This window comes from Homo sapiens, chromosome 6 (assembly GCF_000001405.40).
Source record: "Homo sapiens chromosome 6, GRCh38.p14 Primary Assembly".
Classification (NCBI taxonomy): domain Eukaryota; kingdom Metazoa; phylum Chordata; class Mammalia; order Primates; family Hominidae; genus Homo; species Homo sapiens.
The window spans coordinates 97,797,968-97,820,442 of NC_000006.12; the positions used below are offsets into that span (position 1 = coordinate 97,797,968).

At 35.1% G+C, this 22,475-nt stretch overlaps 1 annotated feature.

Annotated features, from left to right (window-relative positions):
* Nucleotides 14,902–15,403: an enhancer, noted in NCBI's record as "NANOG hESC enhancer chr6:98260745-98261246 (GRCh37/hg19 assembly coordinates)". NCBI's record gives its function as "activates a minimal SCP1, AML or CMV promoter by ChIP-STARR-seq in primed H9 embryonic stem cells {active_cell/tissue: H9 hESC(primed)}" and the evidence as "EXISTENCE:reporter gene assay evidence [ECO:0000049][PMID:30033119]".

The window sequence follows — 22,475 nt, forward strand, 5'->3', positions numbered from 1 at the left end:
TACCATCAGAGAATACTATAAACACCTCTATGCAAATAAACTAGAAAATCTAGGAGAAATGGATAAATTCCTCGACACATACACCCTCCCAAGACTAAACCAGGAAGAAGTTGAATCTCTGAATAGACCAATAACAGGCTCTGAAATTGAGGCAATAATTAATAGCTTACCAACCAAAAAAAGTCCAGGACCAGACAGATTCACAGCCGAATTCTACCAGAGGTACAAGGAGGAGCTGGTACCATTCCTTCTGAAACTATTCCAATCAATACAAAAAGAGGGAATCCTCTCTAACTCATTTTATGAGGCCAGCATCAACCTGATACCAAAGCCTGGCAGAGACACAGCAAAAAAAGAGAATTGTAGACCAATATCCCCGATGAACATCAATGCAAAAATCCTCAATAAAATACTGGCAAACTGAATCCAGCAGCACATCAAAAAGCTTATCCACCATGATCAAGTGGGCTTCATCCCTGGGATGCAAGGCTGGTTCAACATATGCAAATCAATAAACGTAATCCAGCATATAAACAGAACCAACAACAAAAACCACATGATTATCTCAATAGATGCAGAAAAGGCCTTTGACAAAATTCAGCAGCCCCTTTGTGCTAAAAACTCTCAATAAATTAGGTATTGATGGGACGTATCTCAAAATAATAAGAGCTATTTATGACAGACCCACAGCCAATGTCATACTAAATGGGCAAAAACTGGAAGCATTCCCTTTCAAAACTGGCACAAGACAGGGATACCCTCTCTCACCACTCCTGTTTAACATAGTGTTGGAAGTTCTGGCCAGGGCAATCAGGCAGGAGAAGGAAATAAAGGTATTCAATTAGGAAAAGAGGAAGTCAAATTGTCCCTGTTTGCAGATGAAATGATTGTATACCTAGAAAACCCCATTGTCTCAGCCCAAAATCTCCTTAAGCTGATAATCAACTTCAGCAAAGTCTCAGGATACAAAATCAATGTGCAAAAATCACAAGCATTCCTATACACGAATAACAGACAAACAGAGAGCCAAACCATGAGTGAACTCCCATTCACAGTTGCTCCAAAGAGAATAAAATACCTAGGAATCCAACTTACAAGGTATTTGTAGGACCTCTTCAAGGAGAACTACAAACCACTGCTCAACGAAATAAAAGAGGATACAAACAAATGGAAGAACATACCATGCTCATGGGTAGGATGAATCAATATCGTGAAAATGGCCATACTGCCCAAGGTAATTTATAGATTCAATGCCATCCCCATCAAGCTACCAATGACATTCTTCACAGAATTGGAAAAAACTACTTTAAAGTTCATGTGGAACCAGAAAAGAGCCCTCATTGCCAAGTCAATCCTAAGCCAAAAAACAAAACTGGAGGCATCACACTACCTGACTTCAAACTATAATACAAGGCTAAAGTAACCACAACAGCATGGTACTGGTACCACAACAGAGATATAGACCAATGGAACAGAACAAAGCCCTCAGAAATAATGTCACATATCTACAACTATCTGATCTTTGACAAACCTGACAGAAATAAGAAATGGGGAAAGGATTCCCTATTTAATAAATGGTGCTGGGAAAACTGACTAGCCATATGTAGAAAGCTGAAACTGGATCCCTTCCTTACACCTTATACAAAAATTAATTCAAGATGGATTAAAGACTTAAATGTTAGACCTAAAACCATAAAAACCCTAGAAGAAAACCTAGGCAATACCATTCAGGACATAGGCATGGGCAAGGACTTCATGACTAAAACACCAAAAGCAATGGCAACAAAAGCCAAAATTGACAAATGGGATCTAATTAAACTAAAGAGCTTCTGCACAGCAAAAGAAACTACCATCAGAATGAATAGGCAACCTACAGAATGGGGGAAATTTTTGCAATCTACTCATCTGACAAAGGGCTAATATCCAGAATCTACAATGAACTCAAACAAATTTACAAGAAAAAAACAAATAACCCCATCAACAAGTGGGCAAAGGATATGAACAGACAATTCTCAAAAGAAGATATTTATGCAGCCAAAAGACACATGAAAAAATGCTCATCATCACTGGCCATCAGAGAAATGCAAATCAAAACCGCAATGAGATACCATCTCACACCAGTTAGAATGGCAATCATTAAAAAGCCAGGAAACAACAGGTGCTGGAGAGGATGTGGAGAAATAGGAACACTTTTACACTCTTGGTGGGACTACAAACTGGTTCAACCATTGTGGAAGTCAGTGTGGCGATTCCTCAAGGATCTAGAACTAGAAATACCATTTGACCCAGCCATCCCATTACTGGTTATATACACAAAGGATTATAAATCATGCTGCTGTAAAGACACATGCGCACGTATGTTTATTGCGGCACTATTCACAATAGCAAAGACTTGGAACCAACCCAAATGTCCAACAATGATAGACTGGATTAAGAAAATGTGGCACATATACACCATGGAATAGTATGCAGCCATAAAAAATGATGAGTTCATGTCCTTTGTAGGGACATGGATGAAGCTGGAAACCATCATTCTCAGCAAACTATCGCAAGGAAAAAAAACAAGGCCGGGCGGTGTGGCTCACGCCTGTAATCCCAGCACTTTGGGAGGCCAAGGCGGGCAGATCACAAGGTCAGGAGATCGAGACCATCCTGGCTAACACAGTGAAAGCCCGTCTCTACTAAAAATACAAACAATTAGCTGGGTGAGGTGGCGGGCGCCTGTAGTCCCAGCTACTCGGGAGGCTGAGGCAGGAGAATGGCGTGAACCCCAGGGGATGGAGCCTGCAGTGAGCCGAGATGCTGCCACTGCACTCCAGCCTGGGCAAGAGCGAGACTCCATCTCAAAAAAAAAAAAAAAAAAAAACAACCAAACACCGCATGTTCTCACTCATAGGTGGGAATTGAACAATGAGAATACATGGACACAGGAAGGGGAGCATCATACACCAGGGCCTGTTGTGGGGTGGGGGGAGGTGGGAGGGATAGCATTAGGAGATATACCTAATGTTAAATGACGAGTTAATGGGTGCAGCACACCAACATGGCACATGTATACATATGTAACAAACCTGCACTTTGTGCACATGTACCCTAAAACTTAAAGTATAATAATAAAAAAAAAGAAATCATAAAACACAGGTAAAATATGCCTATGGAGAAGATACTATAGGCAACGAGGGTAATTTTTTGAAAGCGAATGTTTTATGGTCTCCAGAAATTTCAGAAATGTAATTTTGATGTAATATAAAATAAAGCTGAAATGATAAAAAAAAGAAAATTATTATCATATAATCAATTACTATATTGGTGTACTGTAAGCTCAGTAGTGGGCCCTCTCCTATTTTCACCCCACACTCTGTTTCCCATAGAGATCTCAAATACTTCCACTGCTTACTATTCCCATGCCAGTGATGCCCACATTTCTTAGTTGCAGATTTGAGCATCTTTTCTTAGTTCTACATCTGAATGTTCAATTGCCTATATTGAGCATTTCTGCATTTCTGAGAGTCACTTCAAACTCAGTATATCCAAAACTCAGCTCTTCATCTTTTTCTTTAGATATTCTGCTACCTATTTTCCTTTCTCAAAGGCCCAAGTCCAAAACATGCCTGTTGTTCTTTAATTTTTCCTCTCCCTTTAATATCCACCACTAATTTTTATTGATTCAACATTGTGAGTGAATCTTAAAGTCGTCCTTTCATCTCCATTCTTATCTCAGTTTAGGTCGTATGACTTTTGTCTCTTCTAATTGTTTCATTTGCCTCCAATCTTGCCCTCTTCATAATTATTCTCCAAAAAGTAGCCAGAGTGATTGTTCTGAAACCCAAACTTGATAATGCTACTATATTACTTAAAACCTTTCAATGACTTTAATTGCTCTCAGAATGAAATCCAACTTCCTTAACACGACCTGCAGGGTGAGATTTTTCCTTAAGTCTACCTTTTTTTCAGCCCCCACCCCTGCCTTCACACATACTCCATAATCCTGCTATTGTTACTTCTGTCAGTTCTTTGAATATACCATGCTTCCCTTGACTTATTGGCATTTAAACACTCTTCACCATGTTTTATGCCACAATAACTCCTCATAATGCTTCATGTCTCAATTAGATGTCATATTTAGAGGGAATATTACTCTCATGTCCCAATATTAGATACTACCTGTTCAGGTAATAGTGTAGCATGACCCTGAAACTTAATTTTGTGTGTATGTTCTCAATTAAAACCTAAAGATAGCAGGACCCTTGATCATGTGCATTATCAATATGTTTTCAGAATCTAGCCTAGTGCCTGGCATACAAGAGCATACTTACTTAATGTTTTTCAAATGAATGATCTCTCAATGTTAATATAGCCAATAGAATTCTTATGTGATACTACTCTTTCTATGGCTTTACACAGGTTGTCTGATAATTCTTAAACATGGACTTTATTTATCAGATATATGTTTAAGAAATTTGTAGACGGTAGTCTTAGTAGAACAGCTTCTTTCTAATCTAATTTTCATCAAGTAAATGACTAGTCTAAAAGGAGGATGTAGCCACGAGGGATTCATGCCATGAAGCAGGTTGTTTGAGAATAATGGACAATAAAAACATACAAAAAAGCTTACTAAACCATCTCCAGTCAGACTAGAATGATAAATTATATAAGACAAATCAGTCTGTTTTATGGTGCTTTCTTATTCATCATTTAAATTTGTTATTTTTAAAAGTAATTAATTATTTTCATCAAATTATTATTATTATCATTATTATTATTATTGCAGATGAGGATTCCGCTGTGATGTCCAGGCTGGCCTCTAACACCTGGGTTCAAGTGATCCTTCTGCTTTAGCTGAAGCTGGGACTAAATGTGTATGCCACCATACCCATCAGTAAATTGTTATTTTTAAGAACTATAGGTTTAGACTCAGTTACACATTTTTGTACCTGTAATTAAGGTCATAGACATTTTATCACCAAAAGGTCAGAGTACAAACTAGTTCATTCAGATTTATCCAGCTTAGTGCCTGACACAAAATAAAATACTAAAGAAAAAGCTAGCTAAAATGCATTTCTCTTTTTGCTCATACCAATACTTTTTAAATTCTGCAAAAATATAATTTATTGTCATATTGGAAATGCTGAAGTTTACCATACATAGAAACGATTCTTTCATTGATCCAAAGGCTATTAAAATCCCAAGAGGTAACCTTTGAAAGCAAACTTTCAGACTCCGTGGTAGGCTCCCCACCATTTTAAAATAGCACCCAAACCTGTGTTTACTTTCAAATAGTGTTCTCAAACTTTTGGGTTTTAGGACCCCCTTTAACCCTTAAAATGTATTGAGCACTCCAAAAAGCTTTTGTTAATGTAGGTTATATCTAGCAATACTTATTTGTATTAGAAATCAAAACTAAAGGTTTTAAAAATACAAAATATCCAAGTACTCTTTTCGTTATCAGTCAGAGTGATGACATTATTACATGTTTTACGGGCTCTAGACCATTTCTCTGTACATCTGTGAGACAATGAAGGTGAAAGGGAAAATGACATTTTAGTATTATTAAAAGATCTTTGAACTCATGGATCCTCTGAAAGTATCTTAGGGATGCCTAGGACTTCCTAGATCACACTTTGAGAAATACTGCTTTAATATATTATCACCCATCACTCTCGCAAGCATTATAAACTTTTCTACATTTTCATAGCTTTATGAACATAATCTGTTATAAGAAACAGTAGTAATTATTTCCCAAAGTAAGCCCTGTGATATTAATAGATTTACTATGTAAACTTGGGTCTTCAGTCAGTTAGGTTGGAGAAAAATTCAATTAAGCAAAACTTAAATACCTTCTGCATTGCAGGCCTTTTGAGAACCTTTATTATGATAATTTGCATTAGGAATGTTCAAGTATGAAATATCATATTTAATGTTCTAGTAATTTGCTTTATTTGCCTAAAATTTTAGACAACATCTACTAGGAATAGTGACATAAAAGATAAAGGATAAATAATTTAAAATTTATAAAATGTTGCCATTTTATTTATTTTAAATATGGAGCCTCTCAGATTCATTATTTACCTACTTTAAGTATCACAATCCAGATATTACATACTTTTGTTTATTGGTTATGAGTTCATTTACATTTTGTGCATTAATCAGCTTTCCATTTTGAAATTTCTCCAGCAACTCATTTCAGAACCTTTCCTAATCCACGTATTTAAGTCTTCAATAATTTCGTTACTCTCTATACTTACCAACAATGTTGAAATGTTAGAGCTCTGTGGTTAAAGGCTACAATTGTTCTTTTCATCCATCATCCTTGAGTTTGCTTTTAATAATACTGTTACTTGGAGGTGGAGAAGCATTGAGCAGAGTCAAGTAAGATGCAGCTTTACAATAAGGGAGGCTTTTCTCTTCCCTCTCCGTTATACTCTATCTTGTGAACTTCTGTTCAGATAGGCAGATTGTGGCTATTAAATGAGATGTAGGAGAAATCTCATTCTCTGCCTTCTCTGGAGTACTATTCATCTTCAATACTTAGAAAAAATTATTTTAGCCAAGGGGAAATTATCAAATGAATGAAGCTTAAGGTAGAATCTTGGCAAACAACTCCAGCTATGTGTACCTTAAAGTTCTGCAGAATTTTAAATAGCTTCTGATTCAAATGAATTTGAGAAAATCTTGACTAAACAAAGCTAAATAGTTTCATTTGTTTTGAGACCTCTCAAATTTACTTGATTGTTTCTCTTTTTAGTTGCTGAGAGGAGGGTAGAATGTATAGAATGCCCAAATATAACATGGTGCAAATTTTTTTAATAGGAGTAGATCTCAAATGACAGTGCTGCAGAATATATTTTGGAAAAAGTTGTTCTAGATTTTAGTAAGTGTTTTACACTTGGTAAAACAGGGTAATTATGAGTTTTGTTTGTTGTTTGTTTTTAATTTGCTGTACTGTTAGAAATAGATTTTTAATTATTTCATTAAGGGCAGAAAGATGTTAAGAAAACTAATGCTTCGATTCGCCAATATTTAAGCATATTACATAAATAGGAAGAAAGAAAGTGTTCTAGGTTTTCAAGTAAAGTAACTGTAACACCACTTAATTAAAAAAAACACTCCACTTATACTTGGCCTCAGGCTAAAATCAGATTGAGGAATCAACATCTACGATTGGAAACCCAGCTAAAGTGTGGCCAGCTTTTATCATGAGTTGATTGTATACAGGCTGATTTCAAGTTGGTAAGGCAGGCTGGTCCTCTTTTACAGCATCTATAAACAGGGCCAGAATCTGGCTGACTAGAGCCTGAGAACATGTTAGGTCGCTTCATATTCAATTCACAGCCCTATAAAGAGAAGAAAAATGAGCCTTGTCCAAAACTCTTACCTCAGCACCCACTGGCAAAAATAAAATGTAAGCTGGGGACCAAGTCTCTTTGAAGCTGATTTTTTAAAAACTCTCTAACAGGCCTCTGGTGGTTACAGATATTGATCGTCAGAAAGTAATCTGTTCAGGTTTGGGGGCATGCCAGTACAAATTGTGGAATGCATTCCTTCCTCTCCAAGGACATGTTGAGCTTTTTACATTGTCCCTACTGGTTCACTTGTCAGCTGTCTACCCTATTTGACATGAATTATTTTCTATCTTTTGTGGATGTATAATTAAATATATTTTAAAAATAGGAAATTTTATTAACATAGAATCTTTAGCTTGAGTCAAAACATTCTTTTCATCTTTTTTAACCCTCATTTTTCTTCCATAATCATTATTTGATTCCCTCTGGCTGCCTGCTACTTATTTGTAGTAGTACCATTCATCCATTGAGACCTTTCCATCTGTCACACAGCTTTGCTTTCTTTCCCCAGAAGCTTTATTCTCCTACTGTGCCATGTTTACTTTTTTTTTCCTTTTTCTTTCTCTCTTTTTGTCTACTAGTTGGACTGAACACTCTTTTGTGCAGGTGTTTTCATCTTTTATTTTTGTTATTTTTTGATTTATACTTGGAAAATAATGCTGAATTAGATAAAAGTGACAGTCAGAAAGGGCATATTTGCTAATCTTTAAAAACAAATGTAATTTTTTAAAAATCCATATGTTTTTATTCTAATATATAAAAGGTAGAATTTCAGTAGATCCGGAACATTCTGATTGTTAAGTGAAGTAGTAGGAATTGCTTCAACCAGTATTTACATATGGTGTGAGAGTGATGCTGATATTTTACTCTCCATGTGTGTACTTTAATGTTTCTTAAGTGTTATTGCTGATTAAAGGTTTATTTACTGTGAATTTCAATGCTTAAAAATACTTAGACATAAAGACTAACATTTTTGGATATTACTTTCCCTCAGAGATTACCAACAAGTTGTATTAAAAGGTAGATATCTTCCGGCTAGAGAACGGATTCTAGGGATAGGAAAATAAATGCAAGCGTTCATGGTAAGATTAAGTGATTGGAAAGTCTCCATTTTGCTTAAATTATTGGTGAATTTTTCTTAACTATGTTATGGTAAAGTATTGAAAGACAGGATTCTTTCTTTATTGATAAACATGTTGAAAATGATAACCTAGATTATTGAATGTTTTCTAGAACAAACTCAAGGTGATAAAAATAAGGAGTTTTATATTAACAAATGCAAATGCATTTCTATTTTTGCATCCTCAGAAGAGTATTAACTTTTCTTTCTGTTGTTTCTGACCTAATACTTTGGATTTAAATATTGAATGATGTGCAATATGTCTTTTCAAAATAGTTAGCAATATTTTTTAATGAATTCCTCAGTGGCACAGTAAGTTTTCAAGCGTGTGTCATGGGCTGGAAGGCATTGCTTTAATTGAATATCCATGTTTTCTGATTATAATGGTTTGGAAATCAGAGCCAAATGAGAAGCATGTTATGCCCACTCAACTAAAAAATAATTGAGTCTCCTTTTCGAGGTTTACAGATAACCAAATCCACATGTATCAAACCTCTGTTGTGTACATGGTGCTGAACTCACATCAGTAAGGGAGTAGATGTTAAGGGATAGCTTCTCCTGTCAAGGGACTCAAAGTCTGTCTGAGGAAGAGAATACAGTACTGACTTCACTTAAAGCATTTGATTTGGCACAGAACATTAAGAATATGTTTGCTGAGGTCTGATAGTATGATAGATTATGCTCTGATCACAGTTGTTTAGGGCCAGGAAATAAAAAACTTCCTAAAGTATTTTAAAACAGTGTTTTAAGTAGATCAGGGACATATCATGGGATAGAAGAGAAGGATGATACTAGCAATCGGAAAATAGCAAGTAGAGATGTATGCAGGAGTTCAGAAGAGAAGTATGAAGACAGGACTTTTTTTGTATGTGTGGAGTCTGGAGTGGGAATAAGAAGTGCAACCAAAACATTAATAATTGTTCAGTCCCTGAACAACCAAAGATAATGAGTCAGAGTCTTTGACTATAAGAAACTAATAATCTAAGTAATAGATATGTCATATGTAAAAATAGTTATCTTATAGTCTAAAAGGCTATAAAACATATGCTGTTTTTTTTTTCTTGAGATATAATAACAAATCCTGTTACAACAATAAGCTTTGCATGGAGAATGAAATAAAAGCTCATGATGCAAAAAGTAGCTGCTTAAAGGCATTGTAGAGAAACCAAAAGAGTCAGGTCGTGAAAGGCTAAAGTCTTAATAAAAAGGAAAATAGGCCGGGTGCTGTGGCTCATGCCTGTAATCCCAGCACTTTGGGAGGCCAAGGCGGATGGATCACGAGGTTAGGAGATCGAGACCATCCTGGCCAACATGGTGAAACCCTGTCTCTACTAAAAATACAAAAATTAACTGGGCGTGGTGTCATACCCCTTTAGTCCCAGCCTCTCAGGAGGCTGAGGCCGGAGAATTCCTTGAACCCACGAGGCAGAGATTGCAGTGAGCCAGGATTGCGCCACTGCACTCTGGAGACAGAGTGAGACTCTGTAAAAAAAAAAAAAAAAAAAAAAAAAAAAGGAAAAGGAAAAGATATTGAGGTGAAATTGATATTCAGTAACACCTTCTGTTGAGGAATTTTCAGATTTCTAAACTTCATAAGGCAGAAAGCTTTGAAATCAAGGAGAATAAGCATTTTTAAAAATTGTTTTTTTTCTTGTCTGTAATTTTACAGTGCTGGGGAGACAAAAATAGGAGGTTAAGTCCTGAAAAGAAGGAGGGATCCCCTCAAAACTCTAGAACTTGAGAACCCAGAAGGGTAATGTTCTAGGAGAAAGGTTTCACAAATTTTGAAACCCAGTCTCAAATCATCTTGATTCCTAATAAGACAAAGATGATCTGTCCTACTCAAATGGCCCGCTTGAAGAAAATATTATAATGTCTTCCAGAGCTTTTAAGTCATCATACTCTGTATTTAAATTTCAATTTAGAAAAATTACCATGCATGCTAGGAGACAGGAACAAATTAACAAAATCCCAGAAAGAAAGAAATAACCGAAAGAAAGAGGTCCACAGATGATGAAATGCTAAAATTGAGATATTGAATTTTAAGGTATCTTTGAGTAATACTCTCAAGAAAAAAACTCTCTGGACTACTTCACACAAAATGGAATCAATAAATAGAATAACATCAATATTCTGGAGCTATAATAACTCAATAGAAGGTTTTTAACAGCATATATACATAGCTGAAAATAGAACTAATGAACTGGAAGATAGATCAGTAACAATTATTAAGACTCGTAGTCAGGTCTGAATTTATGCTCTTGCCTTAAATAACTGGAAAACCAGAAAAAATACATAAGACAACTGTTTTCAGAGATTAGAAAATGGGTACCGAATCATGATCCCTGAGAGACAGTGGTGAGTGGGGAGGCTGAGATTGCTGCAGTTTACAGTGCAAAGTATGAGAGAGTTAAAAGCTGTCAAGAAAGAACTTCAGAAATCAATATGGTCCTGTACAAACCTGTGCATGCATAAGGTAAAACTACATAAGCCTGATTAAAAAAAAAAAAAAAAAAAACAAATTCTAAGGACAAAAATTTGCTGAGAAATGTTAAGCCAAAATTGTTTTAGACCTCATAAAAGGATGTGAATTGTTAAAATTCCCATTAGCTAGCATAAAGTAACATTATTGAAATCATTGTGTTGAAATATGGTGGGCTGAGATCCACTCTAAAATATAAATAAATGAAGTTTTAAAATGATCAAACTAGGTCACACATAACTTAACTGCCTTTTAGAACAACATCTAAAATACTTAAAGAGAATAAAACAAAATCCAGCACTCAATAATATAAAACTTATGGTATGTGTTATCAAATTGCTAGACATGAGAAGAAGCAAGCGATCTGCACAATATTAAAGAACCAAAAAGAATGACTAGAAAGAAAAAATATAAAATCTGAACCAAAACTTTCAGGATGGCATTAACATATTAGAGACTGAAGGAAAACAAAAGTCAGTGAACTTAATGGCGCAGCAATAGAAAGTACCCAATAATAGACAAAACAAAGAATAGACAAAACAAAATCAATGAGGGCTCAGTAACTTGTGAGACATTATAAAGTAGTCTAACATAAGTGCAATTGGATTTCTAGAATGAAAGAGGAACAGAAAAATATTTGAAAAAGTAATTACTAAAAATATTTCAAATTTGATTTAAGAAGATATAAATCCACATATTAAAACATGCAACAAACTTCAAGCAAGGTAAGTCTAATGAAAACCATGCCAATGAATGTCATCATCAAACTGCTGACAATCTGTGATGAAGCAACCAAAGAAAGATTATAGAAAAACAGTAAGAATTGTTATAAACTTAAAGAAGCCAAAAACCGTGGAATGATATATTAAAAATGCGAGGAGAAAAAAAAAACAAACTATCAACTTGTATGCCTATTAAAAGTGTCTTTCAAAAGCAAAAGAATATTTTTTTCAGGCAAGTGAAAGATGAGAGAATTCATCACCAGCAGACCTGCACTACACAACATGCAAAAGGACGTTTTTCAGGCAGAAAATGACAGACAACTAGAAAGTTGAATCTATAGAAAGCAATGAAGAGCCCTGGGAATAGTAAATAAATAAGTAATGAAATAGTCTTTTTTCTCATTTAAAATGTTTAAAAATATAATGGAGTTTTCAAAAGAAAAAAGTAATGACAGTGTATTGGGTGCAAAAATGCATGCTAACAGTAGACAAATGAAAAGAGTAGAAATGGAAATATACACTTGTAAGAGTTTTAAGTTATTTAAAAAGTTGTAAAATATTGAAAGGAACACTCTGAAGTATGCATATTTTCAACCCTAGGGCAACCACTTTTCAAAAGAGGTATAGCTAATTTTCCAATAGTATAGACAAAATACTTTGCAAAATATTTTGCAAATAGTATAGACAAAATGAGATGATAAAACATAGTCAAACAAAAGTAACAAAAGAAATAGGGAATAAAAACAGATGTAACAAATAGAAAATAAAAAGCAAGATGTTACATTAAACCCAATCATATTGGTTTTCATATTAAATGTAAATGGCTAAACAACCCAAATGGAATGGATGGAGAGTTTGAATACATCTTTCTGATCATGTATAACAATAGTTCCAACACATTCCAGAGAAAATTCTGTAGGCTGAATTGAAGCATAGGCCATTTGTAAAAACTGAAGGGATCTGACTATCCCAAGTAGGATTTGGTTTCAGATTTGAAGTCCTGTCTGTGAATTATGCACAACATGTCAATGCAGTTTGTTGACTAGGTGACTTGTTCTTCCTATTATAACAGATTCACCTGCCTGTCTAGATAGGAGAATGGCTGACACAGAGAGGGCACTTAGTAAAGATTTGTTAAATAATTGAACAAATCTGGAAGAAGAATCATGCAATATGTCTTCTTGGGAAGGAAACAGAATGCTTTGAGGACATAAGTGGTGTTTTCATCTCTTCTTTCAGTATAAGACCTTGATTTGGGGTAGATAAGGATAATATACTAGTTTTCAAGAAAGAAAAAACTATAATTATTATTTTTGTGCTCTGTGGCTGACAGTTGCAGATGATTTGCCACCTGATAGGTGACAGAGTTCTGAGACATCAGGAAGAGTATATTTTGAAGTAGATTCAATAAGAATATAAAGTAACATTTGAAAAAGAATAATAATTTCAATCAAAATTGAAAGAAACTGGATACTACTCAGTTTAATAAAAGCAACATACATAGAATAATGAAGTCATGGAAGCAAGAATAAACTAGTTGTATGGTAAACTAGTAAAAACTATAAAACTGTGTCAAGAAAGTACCTAATATGGCCACGTACAGTGGTGCATGCCTGTAATCCAAGTGATTTGGGAGGCAGAGGTGGGAGGATTTCTTGAGCCCAGGAGTTTGAGACCAGCCCGGGCAACATAGAGACACCTCATCTTTACAAAAAATTAAAAAAAAAAAAGAAAGTACCCAGTAATTCTAAGGAGAAAACAATACACATAAGTTACATATATACAAATGCACATACACACATATGTAATAATTAACCGTATTTTAAAAATAAATGTAAAATGCTAAAGAAAAAGCAATAACAGTCTTGGTATCGCTGAAATTGATCAGATTATTTAATGATTAAGTAGATCACTGAAACTTGTTTACAAAAAAATCTAATTTGTAGTTTTTCATGGTGAGAGAGTATGCTTGTCTATGTGTGTGTGAATCCACAGGTCTAAATGAAGGAAGTAAGTAGAAATTATTTGAGAGAGAAACAGAAGTGAAGCAGTTATCGGCATTTAATTTGACAGCCTGATCAGAAGGAAAGTGTGCTTTAAATTTTCCTATTATCAATAATAAGACTGGTCCAAAGGCAGAGGCAGTGATGAAGAACAGCACTATTTGTTATATACCAGTAGTCTAAAATACATTTGATGTGTTTTCACTCTCATAATTTCTCATAAAGGTAAGGAAGCAGTGTGATAAATTCTACTGTTTTGTACAAGAACTTGTACATAAAGTAGAAGTGATGTTAACCTTTTGAGAAAATAATATTTTTATGTTAGAATTTTAAATAGTTACATAAATGCATAGCCAAATATGATCACCATATAATTTCAGTCAGTAGATTTCAGAGTTCAGAGAAATATGGGTATAATTCCATGTTCAGGGACTCTTAAGATGAATATAGTTAGAAAATGATGGAGGGTTAAAAAAGGAATTTTGATTTATAATTTTAAAAAGCTGTAGTGAGAAAGGCAAGAGATGTGGCATGCTACTAGTGTGCAGCTCCATGTGTTACCCACACCTGGAAAGCATATCGACACAAGAGGTGGTATAAGGAGTTTAGAACCAAGAATGAGTTCAAATACATAACATATTTCTGAAAGCAATGCCAAAACTAGTACAAAAAATTATAATCTTCATAGAAAACTCATTTTAAAAAAGAGCCCTGGGGAGCAAAATTTAGGGCAAGTTAGGGCAAGAAGAGGAATAGGACCACTGCCTTTGGTAAAATGTTTTATGAACAACAACAAAAAATTTTCTCAATTCCTGTGTTGCTTTGCTGTGCTCATTTAAGGAACAATTTATTTCTACAAAATAAATTACAGTTCATATATAAACTATAATTAATTAAGAACTAATTAAAGATGACTATTTCTATGGGGAGAGGGCTAGAAATCATGAAGAATGATAGAATTGAGTATGCTTAAATTAGAAAAGGTGAAATTTAAGGATACCATTATAGTTGTTTTCAATATTTTGAAGATCAGGCATGCAAAGATGTATTCTGTTCATAGTAAGCAATATAATATAGTAGACTGCCAAGTAGGCAGTCTCTGATTGTATAAAGGGCAGTGATTTATCAGTTGGAAAGGATTTTCAACTAAGCAAGTAAGGTCTTCTTCAGCAGAAGTCTTTCAGCAGACTCTTCAAAAGGCAGAAATGGATTTATTCCATGGAAGACAAGATGCCTGTTAAGATCTCTTTCATTTCTCCTGCTAGAGGATATTGTGAGGTTAGATGATATCACAGTGACAAGTCAGTGTGGGAAACAGAACTAAAGATAATGGTTTAATTAACTAGACTCAAAGGTCAAACACCTGAAACTGAATGAGGGTCTGGGTAACCAATTCTATACTGCAATTTTCTGAAGTGAGTAGCAGAAAGACAGAAACAAGGGAAAGACCAGCAGTGAGCAGAAGTCCAGGTGACTTCAAGAACTCTTGTTGAATTGAGACATTCAAGACATTCCTGACATTCAAGACATTCCTGTCTTCCTTCATAGGGTGGAAGAAGCATTAATGTTAATGCTTTTTTGGAAGGAAGTATGAAATGGACTGAAATATTTTACTTGGTCTAGAGACTGAGGCAAGAATTGGAGACTTACCTTTTGACATTCTCCAAGACAGATTCAATGAAAGTTACAATAAAATCAATAAACTTAGAGCTAATCAAATAAATATAACATACAACTTTTGCAAGTCATGTATGCTATAGTAGTGCCTAAAGAACCCAGTTTTATCATACGTATTCTAGTAGCTAACATTTATTGAGTTCTTGTGTATATTTTGTGTGTATTAAACTATTTACATGTGTGTATTAAACTATTTACAAACATAAGATACTCTCATAATTTTATCTTTTATTAACTCCATGAAATAGAAACAATTACCATCATAATTTTACAAATAAGGAAACTTCAACTTAAAGAGATCAAGTAATTTATCTAAGAGCAGTGCCCCAGAGTATTATAAACAGGATTTATGTCTCAGTTTGTCTGATACCACAGAGCCTTCATCTTTAACCTGTAGGTGATAATGGTGTTGTATTACTGATCTGGTTGGAAATCAAACAACTCTGAATTGCAGCTCTGGGAAACAAAGAAATGGAAACCTACTCAAGACGGCCTGTGTGCCTTTTAGGAGGTTGGCAGTCAAATGTGGCACCAAACTCTGGATCCAATCAAATGTTTGGTACTGTCCAACCTTCCATATGGTTGGGAGGTCTGGATCTGTCACAGATGTCGCAGGCAGCTTCCCGCATCACCTGCAAGACATATGTGACATAAATGGGAAAGCAGGATTACTAAAAGTGTGCCCCCAGCTGGGCCTATAACTGAAGCGAAGATCAGCACAGCAGCAAGCATGGGAACTGGGCAAACCTGGGGGATGGTTCACTTTAAGGCCCTGAGTCAGCTGCTCAACAGTGAGCCGAAATGGGGGCATTGTGAGTAGGAGTAGGCAGGGCTGGCAAAAGAAAGGCTCCAAGGACACATTGAATCACAACTTCTAACAATGTGGCATGGCTGTGCAAACAACATCAGACAGGCCAAACTTACATGCAAAAAATCAAAGACTGAGTGACTCTTTTTGGGCAAATGTGTCTGGCAGCCTACAAGGAGGAAAGGCAGGGCTGCAAGTACAATATGCTCTACAGACAGAGGAGAGAGTCCCAGCCCAAAGACAGCTTCCATGTGTATGAAGTGTGGAAAATCTGAGACATGCACTGGGCTCTTCAGCCACATTCTCACCCTTGGAAAGCAATCAGCCAGCAGAAAAATCTCCAATTTAAATGACAGCAAAATGTATGCTTGGAGTTATCTGACCAAATTAGCAACTGAGATATTCTAGGGACTTAATTTGCACATTGAGTTTTAATAGTATTATATTTGTATAGCAGATTATATAACCAAAAATGTTAATGGGAAAATGATTTTATTTGACTGGGAAATTGGCACCCCGACTAATTGTCTGAAAAGAAGCCAATTTTAAAATTCAGATGCTATTTGAATGAACTGGTATTGGCTGAATTAGGATTTATTGTGTAAAATATGCAGTTTTTAAAAATAGTCTAAGGAAAGAAAAAAGGACTCAATGAACGAAGTTTGCATACTTCACTATGTTCTGGGATAGGTTTTGCAACGGTACAAACAAGATGATCATAAAGAATATTGGGGTTGGAGTAGGGGTGGAGGAAGATGAAAAAGTGACCTGAAATGAACATACGTTATGAATGTGTATGTGGTCAGAGTAAATAGGATGGCTTGTCATCTGTCTATAATTTAGCCAGATAGCAACTCTTTACTAAAATATTTGATTACCTTTTTATAAATAACTTGGAGTTTCATGTGCCTATTTCATATAGATTAGGATAAAGTGCCATACATATTTAGGAATGACCATGTTTTTGGTATGCTATTTGTAGCACTTAACACATTAAGAAAATTGTAAGCTTGCAATTAACTCTGGCAATAATTTTTTTTATGAAATGTATTAGCTGCAACTGGCTAAGACTAAATAAGAAATTAGATTGTGTGACAATCATAGGAGAAAGCTTTGCGAGTAATACACTTTATTCTGTTGAAAAGTCTTTTTTCTTAGTCAATTGAAATGGCCTTATTGTTCTGGCTACCACCTCCTCCTCCTGAAGAAGCTTAGATCTTCTAAATAACAGGTGAAAATGCACTTTTCATTTATTACTTGCCTTCAGGATGTGGAAAGCACAAGGTTTCCTTAGAAAACCAGGCCTTTTCCTCTCCACCCCACCCCCTACCAGCCCTACACTTTAAGACAACATCTTCAAGTTGCCATAGACCAACTGTGAGTGTTAAATGAATATCTTTGACAGGAGCTAAGTCTTTTGGGCATTGAAATAAGGTTTTCCTCCTCTCTTGGCATGTGAAGATTGAGAGTGTGCTTTGACACCAGTAGCAGAGGATGTGAGCAAAGCAACCTTCAGAGCATCAGAAGTGTCAGCAAAAGGAAAAATCAGCACAAGTAGAAAGCATCAAGGTAATTTCCCCACCTGTAGTATTCCATGAAGTCAGTCAGCTCATCGCCACTTTTGTCTGACGGAACCTCCCTCTCTATTGTTAAATGCCACATAAACTATCTGTCAGCCTCTAGGGCAGTTCACTTCTCTTACACAGAAAGAAACACAAAGGTACAAACAAAAGCAGCAACATATTGAGCTAAAATAAAAGTTAAAAAATAGTATTTCATACTTCATTCATAAGTATATATATTGGGCAAATTTCCCTGGAATATCATATAGCCAGAATACCTACTATGTTTGATTCCATTTCTTCAAGAGTTGAAACAATCTATTCCTGTGTGGAGAAGGGTTTTCTCCTATTTATCTGGTGCTTTTATTTTAGATTTGGAACCAAAAACTATGATTATATTTCTGCATTGTGAATGTATTAAATATTTCATTGTTGATGCTAAAGTTTCTTAAACATATTAATATATAAGTATACCTATCATAAGTTGAAAGCTGCTGAATTTTTTCAAATAGTACACATCCATGTATCTAGTACCTAGATTAAGGAACAGAAAATTCCTCGTGCTAAGTTTTTCAATAGTTGCATTTTCCAAATGCTTTCATTTCTGTGGCTTTTCCATTTTTGGAAAAAAAAAATGTTACCACATTAGAGTGGCAACACCTGCATTCAAACATCTATTTCCTCAATATATTCCCTAATAGCATCATCAAATAATTTTCATTAATGTTTAATTCATTGCACATAGCAACCTGTATAACTATAGGAAAGGACATAAATTAGCATTACACAGTATGAACATTTGCTACATGGCAAAACTGTTCCTTTTGGCAAACATTTTGCATTTTTAAAGCCACAAGCACCCTGCTGAACAGAACTCCAAACAGAGGAGTAGCAAAATGGGAGGAAGGTGCTGTGACTAAATGAAGGAAGGCTGAGGGGTTAAAATCATTGCTGGGTGATTTCACCACTACTGCCCCATATTCATACTCTCGGTAAATGAATGAGGAGAGCCCCATGTGGGATTACAAACTTGCTGGAAATGGATGAGAAACCTTCTGCTCTGCTGGAGTTTGTAAGTAGTTTCTAAGGGCTGATTTCTGCACAAGTGAAATTGATTGGATTGTTTTATTTTTCTTCTGGCAAGAAATGTTTTTCATCTCTGCATATTCCTCTCCCTGTTTTCTTGGGTTGGCTTGACGACAAAACCTTCTGCAAGACCCAGAAACAAGTCATCTCTTCTGTGAAGCCTTCTTGATTACACTGCCTCGGTCCTTGCCCCTTCGTGGATTATGTGGCATTATCCTCCCTAATAACTTGTACAATACCTTAAAGCTTCTCATAGTAAACTCTCTCAGTCTCTGCTACTCACTCATTCCCTAGGTTGTGAGCTTCTAGAGGACACAACTTGTGTCTTTTCAACTTTGTGTGTCACCGTCCTGGTTGCTTTACTTCTAATTCCACTGCTTCTAACCTAGATGTAAATAGAAACTCAGTTCCAGGTATGAACGGCCATAGGCAGATGACTTACTTGTGAGGGTTAGACCACCATAGGCCATCATCATCTGGAGTTCCCTCCTGTTAGCAAAGTTGTTTCTTCAGGCTGATCTACTAATTGTTTACCCACAACCCACTTCTGAGCTGGGGATGAGTGACCACCTGCCTAGATTTTCTTGTTAAGCATCATAATGAAAGAAAAGAGACAGCGTTTGCTATTAAAGTATTTTCTTAAAAAATGGTATTCTAGAAAAAATAATTGTCTTTCTCTTGCAAGGAAAGAGGAAAATAAAAGCCCATGCACCATAATCAACAAACATTTAATTGACCAACACTTCCTTTTCACTTACTTCCCTTTTTAAAAATAAGAAGTAGGTAACAAGGATAACACAAACAGTAATCTCTTCTAACCCTGTTAATGTTGATGAAATAAAAGGAAAAGAAAGGAAATAGCTGAAATCTGTTGTCCTTCCTTGGAGTTTGGGGTGGCCTCCATCTTTTTCTCCCCTTTCTTGAAGTCAGTCAGAGGTGCTTTTGCCTTTCTTTCTACAGCCTACCTTTTAAAGCCTTATTTTCTAGAGAATGGACATACACGTGTGATAATCATGGTATTTCCTCTGAATGGTGTATTACAATTTGATTAGTAAATCATATATATATATATATATTTTTTTTTTTTTTTTACTGCTTGGAGATACTGTAAAAAAAATTCAATGCAATTGGAATATATTCAAATGAATATATATTGAGGCATTGAAAGCACTGAGTTATCAATACTAGAAGTGTTATACACAAGTCAGACTGCCTAGGTTTAATTCGGGCTTCTGGTTAAAATGCAATTGCTTTTGGGCAAGTTATTTAACCTTTCATCTGAATAATTGGGATAATAAAATACATCTCTTAAGTTGTGAGAATTAGATATGTCAGTATATTTAAAGCTCTTATAACAGTGTATAGAACATGATAAATGTTCCATAAATATTCCCTATTATGTAATAATAACTATTTTATTATGTATGATATGCTAGTACTACTACTAAATAATTAAATCAAAAAGGACAAGAGATATCAAAATGAAACATTTGAGTGTAGTGTGTAAAAATGGATATGCCTGTTAACAGCTAGGTCTTTCATGTTCTTGAATCATTTTAAGCAAAAAAGATTTTCTTTATTCAATAATCATAAATAGCGACTCTCAGGGAGAACAGAATTCCTATATTGTTCTTTGTTACTCTCCTTTCATATAGCAGCTATATTTAATAGCTACTCTGTTATTAAGTGTATTTTAAACAGCTATTATGTAAGTGACCTATATGAAAGAGTTTTATTCAACCAAATTTTGTGCCCTTTAGTAAAATATTTTTATATAATAATTAATAAAAGTTCTATTTGTTGATAACTTTTAGAAATAGGCTTTGTAACACAGTGAAAATATGCTAACATAATCAAGATCATGTCTCTTAAAAAAAAAACCCAAAAACTTAAATAAGGTTTAAGATCCTTGTTCTCAGAATTGGGGAGCTTAAAAATAATTTTGGCAACATTTGTGGTATGGTGGATTTGGCTACCATGTTTTCCCCATTTTATTGCCTGAAATGCCTTTCCTCAAAGTTTTCAGATTTGGTGATTTGCTTTCTGAATAGAAATATGAGGATCTTCCATCAAAAAGATTCAGTGCAATTCTTTTATCAGAGTGTGAGTTGCTAGCTACAAGAAACAGATGCCTTTTTTTTTGCATTGCACCATTTACAAAATGTACTCATACCAAACAATAAAAAAAAAATCCCTCAGATAAGCCTCAGATAAACCGTATAGAAAGATGAATAACACAGAGATTATAAGTTGGTTTAGAATGCAAAGATATATAACGAATATCAAAGAAGCATCAATTCCTGGTATGGAAATAATGGCATTAAGCAAACTTACTCCTTTTCCTTTCAGTAGGTTAAAAATGGACACATTGTAATTAAAATTATTTGAAATGGAAAACGAACTTAAATCTTCTGTCCTAAAAGTTGACTATGAGTTTTTCTATGAATACTAGTTTTCACCGTCTCGAAAACTTTCACATTAAGAGCATTTGAAAGCAAATAAACAGTAATTATTATTGACCTTTTTATAATGGTCAGAATCTGGAAGTAATAAACTCTGTTTAAATCTTTATAGGAACTGAAGTAACTAAGGAGTTTCATCCTAATTAGGATGTTTTCGTTGTGTAGTTATATATGTTGATTCTGAAAACATTGATCTTGCCGAAAGAAAGGAAAAGAATGGTAGAGATGCAGGCAGACTGAAGCAACAGAGCAACACATTTCCATAACTAATAATCTTTCATAGATATATTGGTTCTGATAGGAGTCCAGATAGACGCCTGAAAAGATTGAATCAAATTGGGCCAGTTTAAAGTGGGGAGTGGGTATCACTGCAAGTTGGACTAGATCATTATGGTTGATGACAAGTTACTGTTATTTTGACTGAGAATATCATTATGTAATATATTACTTAAATTGTTGAGCCTTTTATTTAACTTTCATCAGTTGCAAACTTGGGGGGTAGTTATGCTTGCTTTTGGTCATTGCTAAAACTCTTACTGTTTCTCTGGGAACCACATTCTCTGTGCTTTTTCGCCTTCCCTGTTCTGCCTCCCCTTTTCTTGAAGTGTTTCTTTTGTTTGTCTCCATTACACCAGCACGCAGGGACACAGTGTTTCTGCACAGTGGGAGTTGGCAATCTCCGAAGAGCCTTTCCAGCATTGCTTTTTAGAATGAAATCATTACAATCTTCAATAGCTACTTGGATTTAAAAAAAAGGAAAGAAAGAAACTAGCACATTATTATTCTCAAAACCATCTCAATGTAAAAAGAGGCTATTTGCTTGGTCCTCCTCAACTCCCCCCTTCCCCCATCCTCCTGCAATCCTTGCTCATCTTGCTCCTTTTCTCTCTGGATGTGTTTCCTTCACACCTAAGTTTCGTTTGCATGGTCCTGATTCACTAACTCTATTCAAACCGAGTACACAAATACATTTTTTTCTGTTGGTTTTGAATATTTTTACACTGCTTATGCAAAGGAGTATAGTCAGATGTATCTTGCATTCGTTGATACTTGAATTATTACCTTCGAGAATGTGAAATATCCTGGTACTGACCCATGGTAATTTTTCAAACCCAGGAGTTATTAGCATATGTCTAGTTGATGGGAAAGTTGTTTTAGTAATGCCTGCAACTAATTTTTAAGCAGGTGAGAATTCTTGTTTATCGTTACT